The sequence below is a fragment of the Homo sapiens genome, chromosome 5, assembly GCF_000001405.40.
Source record: "Homo sapiens chromosome 5, GRCh38.p14 Primary Assembly".
Taxonomy (NCBI): Eukaryota; Metazoa; Chordata; class Mammalia; order Primates; family Hominidae; genus Homo; species Homo sapiens.
The window spans coordinates 126,867,210-126,883,399 of record NC_000005.10 but is presented as its reverse complement, the minus strand read 5'-3'; the positions used below and the strand labels follow the sequence as shown (position 1 = coordinate 126,883,399).

The 16,190-nt window shown below is 44.8% G+C and overlaps 1 protein-coding gene across 2 annotated transcripts in view, besides 1 other annotated feature; it reads left to right on the top strand.

Annotated features, from left to right (window-relative positions):
* MARCHF3 (membrane associated ring-CH-type finger 3) overlaps positions 1 to 15,686 on the top strand; it is a 162,845-nt gene extending 147,159 nt beyond the window's left edge. For both annotated transcript variants that reach the window (NM_178450.5, XM_011543131.4), the window contains 2 exons: positions 5,006 to 5,215; positions 12,609 to 15,686. In NM_178450.5, coding sequence (NP_848545.1) covers positions 5,006 to 5,215; positions 12,609 to 12,767 — 369 coding nt within the window. In that variant the 3' untranslated portion in view covers positions 12,768 to 15,686. The remainder of the gene's footprint in view (positions 1 to 5,005; positions 5,216 to 12,608) is intronic.
* Positions 7,538 to 8,037: an enhancer, noted in NCBI's record as "H3K4me1 hESC enhancer chr5:126211055-126211554 (GRCh37/hg19 assembly coordinates)". NCBI's record gives its function as "activates a minimal SCP1, AML or CMV promoter by ChIP-STARR-seq in naive H9 embryonic stem cells {active_cell/tissue: H9 hESC(naive)}" and the evidence as "EXISTENCE:reporter gene assay evidence [ECO:0000049][PMID:30033119]".

Below are 16,190 nucleotides of genomic sequence, written 5' to 3'. Positions count from 1 at the left end.
GCTCACTGCTGGGGCTTTCAACAGCATGATCTCTGTACTGCATGTTTTGATGGAACCAGAGAACAAGATGCCAGAAGGGTGCCCTTGGTTGCCCACGGAATCCCTGGCAGCCATATGAGTGGATCCACCAGGAGAAAAATGCCACAAAATTTACTAGTCTCAATCATTGACCTTGGCTTTTAAAATATAGCTAACCACCAAGTATACGCTGAAGACTAAGGTCAAACTTAAGACCCTTCAAGAATGGCATTTGAGCTGCAAAAGCTGTCCACAAGTGGGCAGGATAAATTAATTGGTATCTCACACCAGAGGAACTTCAATAAGTAAATATTCCTTCTTGTACTGATAAGTACAATTAAGATGTAACCATTTTCCTCCCCTTCCATCCAGCTACTTCCTGACCCCATGCTTTACTAAGAATTATGATATAGTAGAATGGTTAGGGGCACAGTCTTTGGAGCTAGACTTCATGAACTAAAGCCACAACCAATCTTGTGTAAGTTATTTAAATTCTCTGTGTCTCATTTTCCCTATCTATAAAATGGCAGTGATAATAATGATTCTAAGATTATTGAGGAGTAAATGAATTATTAGATGTAGCGTATAAGATAGTGCTTGGCATATAGTAGGGGCTGAAGAGACATAAGCTATTCTCATTCATTTAGCATGAGGTGCCTGATATGAGGCAGGCCACGTGCTAGACACCAGTGATGTAAAGGTAAGTTTGAATGGGAAGACAGACACACAAACAAGCCTGCCTTCTGCCTCTTCCTGTTCTTTATTAATGCTTAGGAGATGAGGATACTACTACAGAACAGGTATAATAGTCAATGTATATACCCCATAACTGATAAGAAAGGTAGAAGACATAAGAGCCAAAAATGTAATAGAACAGTAATCGAGGAGGTCAACCCCTTGTCTATTATGAATTAGGTCACAATGCATGATAATGTAGCTGAGATTAAACACCCAGAAATTAGACCTCATCGTGGTTTGGCAAAAGAATTGACACAGACCAGAACAAGAGCCTAAGAAAATTTTCTGAAACTAGCGTGATCAAATCCTGGCCAGCCAACTAAACATTCAGTTACCAGATGTACCCAATAAAACGGCAGGACTTAAATGTGTCCCACCTAGCTGAAAAGTTAAAAAACCTTGCACACGCAAGCATACACACACAAATGCCATTTGGTACAAAAAGAAAATGTTAGCAGGAAAACAAGGAAGAGAACATGTGAGGCTGGTTTAAATCTCACCTCTGATACCCACTTGCTATCTCTCCTTAGGTGAGTTATGAAACTTTCTGCTACCTGGTGTTTATATCTATGGAATGGGGATACTGTTATCACCTACTACATAGGACTGTTGTGAGGACTTAGTGAGATATTGCATAATAAACTCCAAGCTGTAGCACTGAGCCTGCCCCAGCCATCTCTCAGTAATAGCTGTTTTGCTGTTTTAGTTTGCTGTGTGCTAGCTAGATATCTGCCTCCCCTGACAGCCTTGTCTGTCCCTCTCTCTCACTCTGTGTGTCTGTCTCTCTCCCTTTCTATCTGTTTTGTACACAAGTGATATATATACATATATTTATACAAGGAATCCATGTTCATTTTATAAAGAAAATAATGTACAAAAAAAGTTTTAAACCACTCACAATGCCACCACCAAGAATAGCTATTATTTTGCTAGGTGGCCCCCTGTCTTTGTGTAAATATGTCTTACATATATAGGATCATACTATACATTCTGTCCACTAGAATTTTTTTCTGCTCAGCAGTATGTCATGCCAGTAAATATAAAATGTACATTAGCATTTGAAATTGCTATTAATGTATGGTATTCTATGTTAAGTAAATTCCATAATTTATTTAGACAATTCCATATTGCTAGGAATATAAGCTGTAATCAAATTTTCTCTGTTATAAACTTTGCTTGTATTAATATTCTGTGTCGATATATGGATATATCTGGATACTTAGTAGCTCTTACCATGGCCAAGGGTACTTTTTTCTTTTCCTCAATGAGGATGGATGATTGCTACTGATCTTGCTCACAAACCTGCGTTTGTATAATTGATAAGTAACATTTGGAGCTCTGCAGAAGATACACAATTTAACATAATAGTACCATGTAAAGTACTCCATACCTAAGTACAACCAGCAGCAAACAACACAAAGAGTAAGCCGAACCCCCCAAAACTAGAGTTAACAAGATGCAGAATTCATCTTATTGGGTGATCATGGGCACATAAATATGGAAGATCAAAGAACAGTTAGAAAACAGGAAACTGGAAACAAGCAATCATAATCTCTAGTTTGTCTTTGCACATTTATTTTGCATCTGGCAGAGATAAACACTGATTCGTAATTACCTCCTCCCCTCCTTCCATATCTAAGTCATTTCATAGGGTAATGTCAAGGGCCACATAAATAAGTAAAGTACTAAGTTAGTTTTAATAAAATGCATCCAGAATTCCCAAGCAAAAGAAAGGAAGGGAAGTCTTAGCTAATGAGGTCAGTGTTTCTGTGGACATCGGTAGCATATGTGTTCAGGGCCTACTGTTCCAAAATGGAAGTACAGAGAAGAGTACACCAGATGTCTATCTGCTTCCAGGGAAAACCTGAACCATGAGGAGAATTGGGTTGGTTTGCTATAATTTGGTCACCATTGTTTAATAATCTGGATGTCTAAATGTCTTGCGATTTTAATTTTTGAACATTCACTAACATCTAAATAAGAGTAGAGATCTCGATCCTCTTCTCAGTTCAGCTTCTGAATCACCTGGCACCATCATTTAACTTTACTGAGCCTCTATAAAATTAAGATACAATAATGCCCTATTTCTACTCTCCACTTGATAGTGATATTCCCAGTACTCAGGCAAGAACATGTTAATTAATAAGAGCTCTTTGAATTTCTTTGAAGCTGCTGAGATGTCTGAGGTGGCATGACAACACATGGCAGGATTAATATCATTTGCACTTATTTTGGTATTTATATTAAATATAATGCAGTATTTAAATTCGCAGACAAGTCAGCTCCCCATTATCTATGTTTTAATATTTATTTGTGTCCACTTTCGAGGTGAAACTGACTGTATTCAGCATTTCAGCCCGTGTTTAAGGTGGCTTGTCCCTGAAAGGTGGAGTGTTGGGGATTCATGCAAACATTTGAGGAAGGGCACCTCCCAGAAAACTTTCTTTGGTGCCTTTTACCTCCTGCTTCTTTTACTCACTCATTGGGGTTTTGCCAGGCCTTACACTGCTCTTTCCTCAACTTCTTTCCCTCTTTGCCGCTTTTCTATTTTGTCGTTCCATGCTTGAGCATGGCCTTCCCCTCCCTCTCCTGTCAGCCCCACCCACTCTTGTCTCACCCATCATGGCCCTTCTCTTCCTCCCAGTGGTTTTGTAGGATTCGCTGCCCTGGCCACTTGGGCTGCAAGTGGCCAGTGCTCCTGTTTGGCAAGCCAGCTGTGTGGCACTGCTGGGCACGCATCAGCAGACAGTCAATGCTAGGTCCCTGTTTGTTGGTAGGAACAAGATGGAAGGCAAAGAGTACCAGTGTCTCTCCTCACCCCAACCCCATCGTCTGTGTTTGACCCCACTCCTTCTCTGGACTCCTTGGCCTCTGTTTACTACATGGAACAGTGAGATGGGAATGTCAAATTATCTGTAGAGTGTTTCAATGCTAATCTGAAGAAGAGCTATCAGGCCTCATTACTCATGTGAATTGACACCAGTATGTAAGCACTGAATTAAATCTATTGTCGAATGGATTTTGGAAAGCATTATAGCAAGCATTAAGCAGGTACCCAAATGGGAGGACAGCCATCCTATTTTCCTAACTGTAGAAATTCTATTTAGTCTTTCAACAAGCATGAGGTTTTCCCCATCCTTTTGGGGATTAGTTCAGTCAAGATGGCAGCATAATCAAGATGTCAGAGGTGGTCCTAAGTGAGGAGGTTCAGGATCCAAAAGCCAAGAGTGGGCATTAATGAGTTCATGGGGTCAGGTGAGTATTATTCCGTGTTTGGTATCCCCAAGACCATCCTCAGGCTCAATTATTCACTAAAAGTACTCACGGGACTCAGAAAAAACTGTTATACTTATGGTTATGGTTTATTACAGCAAAGGGATACAGATTAAAAGCAGAAAAGGGTGAAGGTGCATGGGGTGAAGTCCAGGAGAAACAAGACACAGGCTTCCATGTGTCCTTTTCTAGTGGAGTCAAACAAATATGCTTAATTCTTCCAGCAATGATTTGTGACAACATGGGCGAAGTATTTGCCAATCTGGGAAGCTCACCTGAGCTTTAGTATTCAGGATTTGACTGGGATCAGTCACACAGACATGCAATATCTGCATGACTGACCTCAGCTACTCAAACTCCAGGCTCCCAGGGCAAAAATAGGTGTTCACCATAAATCACATTGTTGGCATAAAGTGTCTCATCATACTAGTATTGTGGGCCCAAGGCCTCTGGCATGCAAAATACTCTTATCAGGTAAAATGTTACTAGGACTCAGAGCTCATCTCTCAGAAGCTGGTCAAGAGCCAGTCCTAAAAACAGGCCTGTCTTGGGAATGTGCGGGGCTTGAGCAACTCAACCGTTTCCAGCACATATTCCCAGGGTGAAGACACTGGAAGGCTTTGGACACATGACTGAACTTCTCCTACCTCAGCTGTCACCTTCCAAGCGTAACATTCTCTCTTCCTTCCACATGGGATCATTGTGATTCTGAATAGTAACGACTATTTTCACAAAAAGTAGGTCATCTACAGCAAGGACACTATAAATTATTATTGTTATTTGTATCATATCATTATTATTCAGGGGGTGGAGCATGGGAATGAGCCCTGAACACTTCCTTGTTATCTCATAACAAGTCAGAAATGCCTTTTCCCAAGGTTCTGAAGGCAAAGATAACTTCAGAACAGCGTGTCTCCACTCCACACTGGCATTTAACCCTCTCCCTTGCTCTTCTCTGTCTCCCTTTACCTGGCAGTGGCTGAGAAACCCTGGCCCCCAGCATGAGAAGCGGACTCTGTTTGGCGACATGGTGTGCTTCTTGTTTATAACTCCCCTGGCCACCATCTCGGGCTGGCTGTGCCTGCGGGGCGCCGTGGACCACCTGCACTTTAGTAGTCGGCTGGAAGCCGTCGGACTGATTGCACTCACTGTCGCACTCTTCACTATTTACCTCTTTTGGACACTAGTAAGTATGGGCCGTGGCTGGGGTTCAGGCCATTTGGAGCTGGCAGCCTCACAGCTGGCACAAGCCTTTCCTCTTGTCTGTAACACATCTCACCTGCCCGGTAGAAAACAGACCTTCGATTGCTGGCGGGAGCATGAGATTTGGTTTATGACTATGTGTGTGTGTGTGTGTTTGTCTGTGTGTGTGTCTGTGCTGCTAAGGCGGATCACATAAAGAAAAAGTTTGGCTTCTGGGTGTCCATCAGTCAAAGACACAGACACACCATGGACGTTTCTCTCCTCTAGTAGTCTAGGACTCCATCTGTTATGAGTCTTGGCATTTTCTTTCCCTTGTTTATGTTTCTCATTTTTGCCGGGATTGTAGTATATTATGAATGATGCATTTGGCTGCTGTTGCTGTCACTGCCTGCACAGATCGTGAATCCTCCCTGCTGGTTATTTCCTTCTTACGTCCTGACACAGCCTAAAGTCTTTGTTGGACGTGGAGCCGCACTTTGCCTGGTGATTATTCTGTGTGTTGGGATATTGACTCTGCTGCCCATAAAAGCACTAATTTATCTAGCTGAGAAGCTGCCACCAAAGAAAGGCCATTTCCCAATAAGTGTTCTCGCTGTGTGTGAGGAAGAATTTTTACATATCACTTTTTTCATTCTTTTAACTTTTAACTTCATGCAGTAAGTTGATCGCTTGAGTACCAGTTGACAGCACCCACAAAATGCAACATTTGATCTCTCTCCTTATGCTTTCCTCTGGGAGCTGCAGGGAAGGACATCACTGTCTTCTAGAATATTTTCAGAAGCTGGGCCCCCTGCTTCCTGGCATTACTCTCCTGTGCCTGCTCGTTTCTAATCTGAGCACGTTCCACTGTTATTCAATATGTATTTCCTGTCTAAAGTGTACCATTCCCATATCCCATAGCACAGTGTCAGCATGTGGAAGCTGCTTCTAGCACATACTTCCTCCCTTTCTGTGTCTCCCAGACCCTGTTCCTCCAGCTGCCACTCCCACAACCCTGTTCATTTCCCTCTTCTTCATCATATGGCTCTTCCAGCTCTGTGCCTCCCCTCCAGTGAGAGTGTTCAAACAGTAAGGAGATACATTTCAGTTTCAGTAAAGAGGGAGTGTTCTAATGCTAAGAACTTATCTGAGTCTTATGGTTAATTTAGACATTCTGTTCCCAGGCTAGTGAAGCCCCAAGCAAAACTATTATTGCTTCCTTTAGAAGTCTACGCTTCCAGCTGGGCGCGGTGGCTCATGCCTGTAATCCCAGCACTTTGGGAGGCTGAGGCGGGCGGATCACTTGAGGTCAGAAGTTCGAGACCAGCCTGGCCAACATGGCGAAACCCTGTCTCTACTAAAAATACAAAAATTAGCTGGGCATCGTGGTGCATGTCTGTAATACTAGCTATTTGGGAGGCCAAGGCAGGAGAATTGCTTGAACCTAGAAGGCAGAGTTGCACTGAGCCAAGATCGTGCCACTGTACTCCAGCCTTGGTGACAGAGTGAGACTCCATCTCAAAAAAAAAAAAGTCTACGCTTCCAAAGTTCATCCTGGTTCATTTTGAATCAGGCAACGAAGCTGTTCCAGTAGCTTCCATTGTGATGGGAGGAGGGTTAGAAATAAGAAATGAAGGAGTCTAAGCAGCACTATCTAACTCCTGGTCAACAGCACCACCCTGGGAAAGTCATTTGGCTTCTGTGAGGCTCAGTGTCCTCATCTGTCAAGTGGAAATAGTGGTAATGCCCATCCTGCCAAATTCCCCTGGTGTTATGAGATTTAAGTCAAAGTGTTTATGGGAAAGTACTTTGGAGAATAATATAAGTTCTTGCCATGTTTAGAGGTTTTCTAGTCTATAATTTTTTTTAGAAGAGTGCCTATGATGAAGGATGGATGAAGTGAGCTTAAATGCTGGGCTTTCAAAACCAATGTAAGGCCTTTCTGAAATCCTGCTTTGTAAAGCATACACTTATCTAACAAGAAAGAAACAGGGTGATAGGTGGCTGGAAAAGAAGGAAGAAAGGAAGAAAAGAAAGGTTATCTCAAGAAAAAATGGATGTGACCTCGTTTCATCTCCCATCTCAGGTGAAAGGAAGGTTTGGGTAGAAAAGGTACCTAGACTAGGCTCTTTCAGGAAAATGGTAACATACTTCATTCCAGAAATGTTTCTCACGGGCAGTGCTATGCATGCGTTTAGAATCCAAGGGCCCTGTGTTTAAACCCAAGATTTATCACCCTAATAACAGTGTAAATTCAAATAGGATACTTAACCTCTCTGTTCATCCTTCCTCTTGTACAAAAAAATACAGGAAATAATTGATAACCGCTAGGTCAATCGGTTATTGCAAAGAGTAAGTGAGATAACGTCTGAGAACATACATGCAAGCACCTAGCAGAGTGTTGGCCCCAGGCTCCTTCCTGCGGCTTCCCTGCTCCCCCAGCTTCCACCCTCCCCCTGCCCTTTATAGAATGCAAAGTAGCAGGAGGGAAAGAAGGCATCTCTCCCCCTTTGACTGGTGTGAAAAACGTGCTGTGGAGTCAGCTCAGCAATAGGTTACTGAATATAGAATAACTCCGTCCCAGATAAATGCTGTGCTGAGCGGCCCTGGCAAGAGCCGTAATTCAGAAGCTGACAGCACTTGGAAACTGCCCTGCGGCAGAAACCCATTGTAAACAAGCTGTCAAGCTTAAGGAGAATATGCTGTGAAAATGTCTTAGATAAACAAACACGGTGTCAGTCCAAGCCTGGCTCCTCAGAGGAGCCGTTCCTGGAAGGGCCTCCCTGGTACTGTGAAGAAGGACAAGCGCTCACGCTGCACGCCTCAGAGTGCCTTGGAGTTTCTCGCAGGCACACGTGGCCATGCAGGTCCAGCCTTGACACACCCTCATGGAGTCCCACCTTCTGGAACCTGCTGTGTTCCAGAAGCACACCTGGGCCCCAGGAGGCCAGGGCCTTGGTCAGCTCCACCCTAAGAGCTCAGGGAGAGGTGTCCTAGAAACATCACTGTCCATGTCACAAGTGATTTGAAACCCGTAGACAGACACAAAGAGAGCTGGCTGAGAACTGAGTCCACATTAAACATGAAGAAATTGTCGGTAATGGACTTGGTATCAGCCCCAGTTTGGAGTTTGGAGGAGAATTGAGGCACCATGTACAGGAAGTCTTTCCACTCACTGCATCACTGATGCAACCAGTGTCCAGCACAGAAGGGAATGAATGAGCGACCCGGTTCCTCAAAGTGTGACTCCCAGTCCCAAGGTTTGATTGTTTAAATTCTTCTTATAAAGGGGGAACTGCCAATGGAACGCTGTCCCAACAAGGCTCACTGTGGGGCTGCTTTAGACACATCCCCCACACGGCCTACAAGCATCCTGAGGGTATTCAGCGGTATTTCCCCATGACCAATTCACTCCTATACTCCTTTTCCCCAGTGCAGTCAGAGATAGATAGGTGAGCTGGGCACATTGCTGAGGAGGCCGTTTGCCAAGGCCTAGTCCCATCGATATCCCTAAGTCACACCACTTCCAGAGAGAAAGGGCAAAATCAAAATATGTAATCAGATATCCCAAAGCCTTCTGTGACTTTTTTTTTTTTTTTTTTGAGAGGGAGTTTCGCTCTTGTTGCCCAGGCTGCAGTGCAGTGGTGTGAGCCGAGATCACCGCAACCTCCGCCTCCCAGGTTCAAGCGATTCTCCTGCTTCAGCCTCCCAAGTAGCTGGGATTACAGGCATGTGCCACCACGCCCAGCTAATTTTGTATTTTTAGTAGAGACGGGGTTTCTCCATGTTGGTCAGGCAGTCTCAAACTCCCAACCTCAGGTGATCTGCCTGCCTCGGCCTCCCAAAGTGCTGGGATTACAGGCATGAGCCACTGCACCAGGCCGCCTGCTGTGACTTTATAGCACACCTTTGCCCCAGCCGCAGTCACCTCCCTAATGGGAAGAGTGGATGCTAACATTTTCTAACCCTTCTCATAATATTCATGCGATCACAACTCTTTGTACAGCAGACTTGCCCATGATAGGAGGTTAGTTAGATGAATAAACTAGAAACTTCAGGAAGCGCATCCCATAAGGAGCAGTATTTTTATAATAGTGGCCCTATACTCTCTTCCTCCTCTCTCCTAAACTCAAAAATTTAAGAAATATCTAAGTGAAATTCCTAACATTATTGTTGGAGCATCTTTTTATGTTTTCTTTTTCCTCGCTGCCTTATTCTTCTTCTAAATTAGACCTCCTTTCTTTCCAATTATATTGCATTGCAGGGATGCAGTGTCTTGGAGCATCTAGAGAAGTAGCATTAACCCAGGGCAATGCAAACCTGTGGTCTCCTTGGCGTTGTGCTCAACTTGCCTTTATTTTCCCTGACAAAGAAGCATCTTCTTATGTTGCTTTCTTCTTATTAATTGAATTTGCCTGCAGACTGTAGTGATTAACCACAATTAAAATAGATTAATGTATAATAAGATCTCATCTGTTTGTCTACACAAGTGGGCTGAATTTTTTAATTTCCTGGCCATGGAACCAGGAGACCTGCTAAGTCGCTGACTCCCTGTGTTCCTTGAAGCAGTGCGTCTCAGGCTTGAATGCACATGCGGATCACCTGGGGGTCTTGTTAAAATGCACTCTCTCATTCCTTAGGTCTGGGTGGGGCCCAAAATTCTGATATTCTAACAAGCTCCCAGGTGATGCAGCCTGCTGCTGGTCCAGGACCACGCCGAGAGCAGAGCCTTAAAGGAAATAGCCCAATCTGTCTCTGTCTCTCTTTTTTTTTTTTTTTCTTTTTCTGTTACCCTGTATCTAAAGGGTGTCACAAAATTCTTTCTTATATTTAAGACACACAAAATACCAGCCCAAGAACACTAAAATGTATGCTCTGTGCCCTGTGCTAGGTGTTTTATATGCATTACATCAAATATCATTATTCACATCTTACAAACAAGGAAACTGAAGCTTGTTGACAGCAAATAACCTCCCCAAGTCACGTAACCACTAAGTAGAGGATGCAGATTGCAGGCCCGTGTGCCTGGCTCCGGAGCCTGCGGCCTGCACTCATAACTACTTCTCCAATTACTAATGCCAGTGTGCACAGCTCTCAGCATCATGGAAAAGGGGACTCTTGATTTGAAATCCAGCTTTCCCGTAATGTTCCCAGATTCCAGACTTCTTATATTGCCAAAGTTCCTTATTAGTATAATAATTGTCTGCATTCCACCTCTTTCCCGCTGTTGGCCCTGAACAGCTGGCTTCCCAGCCTGCCTCTCCTACATTCGTGAGTGGCACCAAGCAGCAGCAGGACAGAATAGATACAAGAGAATCACACTTGAAAAAAAAACCAAACTGATCCACTTTAGCATGTTCAGGGACTTTTGGAGAAAAGCACTTCTGTGTGAGTTTAAAAGCGTATATTTTCATACTCAACCCTCTCTGGCACTCGGCCCGTGGCATCTGCTTTCTAGCCTCAGAAATTTGAATAAGTGGCCTTGAATTTCATGATCCTGCCATGAAGACTAAAAAGCCCATTCTGATCAAGGGCCTGCCTTTCATCTACTTCCAGAAACTCGAGACCAAGTCATCAGGCCAGCCTACTTTCTGACCACCATAGACCTTTAGTGGGATCAACACAACACACCTACTCCCAGATAATTAAACAGCCCAGACCTGATTTGTCACTCCAAGCTCATGGTCTCCTTCCTTTCCAGCACTTACCTACACATCAGACTCTGAATTTCTTGGACGGTCCATCAATGTTTTATGCCAGCCTTCTCCAAAACAGACTACAGGTTTAAGCATCTCATTCCAATATATGTACATAAAAAGCAAGCACCTTGGCCGGGCACCATGGTTCACGCCTGTAATCCCAGCACTTTGGGAGGCAGAGGTGGGTGGATCACCTAAGGTCGGGAGTTCGAGACCAGCCTGACCAACATGGAGAAACCCTGTCTCTACTAAAAATACAAAATCAGCCAGGCATGGTGGCTACTCGGGAGGCTGAGGCAGGTGAATCGCTTGAACCTGGGAGACAGAGGTTGCGGTGAGCCGAGATCGCGCCATTGCACTTCCGCCTGGGCAACAAGAGCAAAACTCTGTCTCAAAAAAAAAAAAAAAAAAAAAAGACAAGGATCTCTCAGGCACCATTATGTCACTGCTTCTACCATCATGTATTATATGAGAGGTTTGGCAGGACACAGTGGCTCACGCCTGTAATCCCAGCCCTTTGGGAGGCTGAGGCAGGCAGAACACTTGAGATCAGGAGTTCGAGACCAGCCTGCCTGGCCAACATGGTGAAACCCTGTCTCCACTAAAAACACAAAAATTTGCCAGGCATGGTGGCGTATGCCTGTAATCCCGGCTTCTCAGGAGGCTGAGGCACAAGAATCGCTTGAACCCGTGAGGCAGAGGTCACAGTGAGCTGAGATCATGTCACCGCACTTGAGCTGGGTGACAGAGCAAGACTCCATCCAAAAAAAAAAAAAAGAGAGAGAGGCTTAAGTTTGAAGCAGTGTTGCAATCAGAAAATATAGGATGCTTATTCACTCATTCATTTACTCAGCAAACTCTCTTGAGCAATTTCCTAAGTGCAAGACATTGTAACAGGTGCTGGGCATGCAAAGATGAACACAACACAACGCCTGCTCTCAAGATGCTTCTAGTGCAGGGGGAGAGAAAAACATGCACAGTGCTGTTCAGGACACTCAGTGCCATGTGGGTAAGCTTGAGGCACAGTGGGCACCCAAGGGAGTCGTGCCCCACCTAGCCTGAGGCTCGAGAAGATTTATCAGGGGAGTTAGTGGCCACACTGTGATTTCCTTATTGGAAGCTATAGAATGCTGGAGCTGGATGCAATTAGGAATCACCCACTGGGGCCACCAGGCTGTTGGGCAGGTTGTCCACAGGACAGTACAAAGGGTGTCCTTCATATCATAGTATGAATGGGATCCTTTGAGTTGTGCAGGGTCTAACTTGCAGGAAGGTTCATGAAGCCCTAGCATCCCACTCATCTAACAGAGAAGAACCTAGGCACCTGATAGGCGCATTGCTGAGGTCACACAGCTGGGCGAGGGCTGGCATTGTATCCACCACTAGTCCGAAAATAAATCCAAACTCAGAAATAACCTCATTTTCCCATTTATATCCTGAATTTACCCGGTATGAGGAGGAACAAAGGAAGCCACCATGCAAGCCCTGCCCATGTGTCCACACATAGGGTGCTCTTTGGCTGGTGCCCAATCTCTCAACACTCACTGCGTGCCAGAGCCATTTTCCCAGGGTTCTTGCCCTGCCATAGTGCTTCCAGCTCTTTGAAGCTCTTTCAAATGACATATTTGTTTCTTGTATTGATTATCCACTTCTGCTGACCTGAATTCTTTTCTCTTACTTTTCCTCTCCCATCCCCAGGTGTCATTTAGGTACCACTGTCGATTGTACAACGAGTGGCGTCGGACCAATCAGAGGGTGATTCTCCTCATTCCAAAGTCTGTCAATGTACCTTCTAACCAGCCGTCCTTGCTGGGCCTCCATTCGGTCAAGAGGAACTCAAAGGAGACAGTTGTTTGATGTTTGTATGGTTGGTTGGTTGTTTGATTCATTGTTTGGGGTTTGGAAGTGTCTGCACTGGGGTCATGCACTGAGCGACCCCCAAGCCCTTCCTTAAGCCTGTGGGTCTAAGAACATCCAGAGCATATTAGCACATCACTCCAAGCAACAACCTCCGCCAGAAGAAAGCAAATGCTGTTTTACTTCAAATGATGGATGCTGCAATCATATGATATTTGCTAAGCTGCCAAACATGTTTATTTAGCAGATACTGTATGGAATTTTCTGAACACCTCTTTAACGTATGAGGAAGGTTGTCCTGCTACGGATGCAATTCAATTCTTCCTTTTTTATTACTATTTCAAACACACACACATATATATATATATTAAACTTAGATGATAATCAAAATCAAAAAGTCAACGTAAAAACTGGTTTCTTGGTTTGGTTGGGTCTTATTTGAGTTAGTTTGTTTCTCAGTTTCTCGTATGGATTCTTTGGGGTACTTTGGTAGCCTGAGTGGTCTTTTTCATCTCTTTCGCGTCCATTACTCAAGGAGACAGCATAACAGATGCAGAACAAGTCATATTTGAAGAATGTTTTGTACTAAACTTCATTTAATTATTCAGTTTTTAAAGGGAAAAAGGGCGTGAGCTCACACAGTGAGCTGTTTATTTAAATATCATTAAGGAGAAAAAAAAATATGGTGAGAAGCTCGCTCCTTTCAACTTGTTTGGTACTGACAGCTGATAGAAGCTATTTTCTAATAATAAACATCCAGTGTGTGAAAGACAAAACCCACTGATTGCAATACTCTTTTTTTAATGATAAAACCTGTGAAGTTTCCCAAAGCAGGTTTTAAAAGGAAAAAAAGGAAAAGCAAAAAGGTTGCTGTTCTCACTCCCATCTCATTTAGTGCATGTCTTAATTCGGGATTCGTAATGAATTGGAGGATCATTAGACATTTCTAGGAACCCTAGACCTGTTTTGCATGTCAATTAGCATTCCCATTGCTCTATTGAATTTCTAGCTTGACAGGTAGATGTGGCAAAAAAAAAAAAAAAAAAAAAAGCCTGTCCTAGCAGCCCTGCACTTATTCTAAGACCCCTTTGTCTGATTCTTTAAAAAGGAGCCCCACACAGTGCCTTCCCCCAACCATGAGCCAATTCTGTCACAGTCCGAAATAGACTTTTTCTAAGGGTTTCGTGTCCCTCTTTTATCCGTCGCAGTGTAAAGGGTCTGATCCGCAGCCTGCATTGTGCGCGCACCGAGGCAGGAGCGGATGTCTTCTGAGGAGAGCGCTGGCTGGGGTTGACTCTCAGGCTCCCGGCTGTCCGCCCGCCCACACGCAGCGAGGAGGGGCGGAGCCCTGCTTCCGGAATGCTTAAAATATGGAATTCTAGAACATGACCCACATTCTGAGTATCACTCCAGCATCTGCCTTGTGTTCCAAGTGGGAAAACGAGAAGTGCAAAGGAACAGGCAGCGAGGAGGGTAGCGATTTTTGTCTGCAAATTGATGGAGCTGATGCAGGTGTCCCCTTTGTAGGCGAGCCCTCCATTCACTGGCTGCTCCCAGCGCTGCCTGGGGAGGGAAACAGCTGTACTGCTCTCCGCTGCAAAACTCAGATGTGCTTTATGGCTTGTGACAATAGATTTCCTCCCCACCACGCTTCACTGGGACACTTCAATTCCAGTAATATATGTCTCAGCCCTTCTGTTTACTGCGCCCTGCTCACCCCCCTGGGCTGTCATTAGCTGCACCACCATCAACCGTTTCTTAATTGACCTTTTTAAAATGCTGGACATCACCGGCTGCACGCAGCTGCCACACATTAAATTTCCAGAGCAAAGAGTCCAACTTGGTAGCTGGTGAATTGCAGCCCTGTAATATACTTAATAAATGACGTCCACCCAGCCTTAGTCCCTGAGCTGTCAGGTGAACCCGTGACACGTCTCAACTGAATGGCACAACATTCATGAGAGGACCATACCCCTTCTCCCTGTTTCTTGCATGAATTAAGGAAGCAGCGGATTTCCAGGATGATTTCCTGTCAAGGTTGGCTGCAGAGAATTCCTGCCATCTTGGTTCATGAGATGAGATATGACATCATCAAAGGCAGCCAGGTCCCAGGCCGTTCAATGGGGATCCTGCATTAGGAAGGGTTTGCACATTAAAACTGTGCCTGTGCCACACCTCTTTCCTTCGTGTTTGCATCCCTGCCCTGTGAAGTAAAACAGAGTCCAAGATGCAAGGAGTAGATTGTGTGTGGGGTGGTGAAAGGACACCCCTGGCAGCCAGGCAGAGCATCAGTGCCTCCCTTCCCAGGTCACCAGCTTGGGACCTCCTTGTGAGAGGCTCTGATCTCCATCAGCATCAGGGCCCATAGGGGATTCTGAACTCTTGGAGGATATTTCATCCCCTCCAAGCCTTGCCCCATGGAAAGGGCTACACCTCCTGCAGGAAGGGGTGCCTTTTGTTAACAGGTATTAATGGGTACAGAGGCACCATGCAGCCTACCAGCACCCTTGCTAGCCTAGTCCTCTTCCTGTGCTTCTTTTTGAAAGATCAAGAATGAAGAGGAAGAGATGAGGAGTGGGGGTCCTTTACCTAAAGGACCCTCGTGGTTCATTGCTTCTCTTTAACTGACTTTTTAAAAAAACTCCCTCTTCCACACTCCTTGCTGTGATTCTGTCCTAATCATTTTTCTTGAGAATGTCATGTAGAGATAAATGTGTGTCACAGTGAAGCCAGAAGGTGAATTAACAACTAAGACAAATCCAGCATGCTCTTGCCTGCCCTGCATATGTGCTCATTTGGGGAAGGACGGAGGACACAGAGCATCGACACAAATTCTACAGCTCCTCAGAGAACACAGCAGAGACTCAGATGAGCTGTAAAATCCATTAAGGAAAAATAAATGGCATGATTTGGAAGTTACTTTGATTTGTCTTTCATTGTCCTAGTCTCCCCTGCCCCTAGTGCCTGGGCCCTGCCGTGGATTGTCACTTTCAGTGGGGCTGTAGCCATAGGCATTTCATTTTCAGTGAAAATAATTCATCTGCGGCATGGAGGAGCCAAAGGAGAAAATGGAGGTGAAATCGCAGCCCAAGTGACCCCACAGTTGGGCAAGCAGCCAGCTTCCGGTTCCACTTCCTCCTAGATCCTTATTGTTCCCATTGGGACACTGACCCTGGCTGGGCTCTGGGTCTGCGCCTGCACCGTGCATCTTTCTCCCATATTGGAATCCGCTCAGCCTTGCCTGACACTCCACACAGCTTATGGAGCTGTCCACACTAGGAAATGACCCATGGCCCAAAGAACCTGAGTAGGAAAGACAGCTAGAAAATGAAATCAGGAAATGCTTCCTTTCCACTTCAATCCAGAGTGTTCCTAGAAGCTGCCTGAAGATCTGCCACACAACTTGTAGTCCCTAGTGCTAGA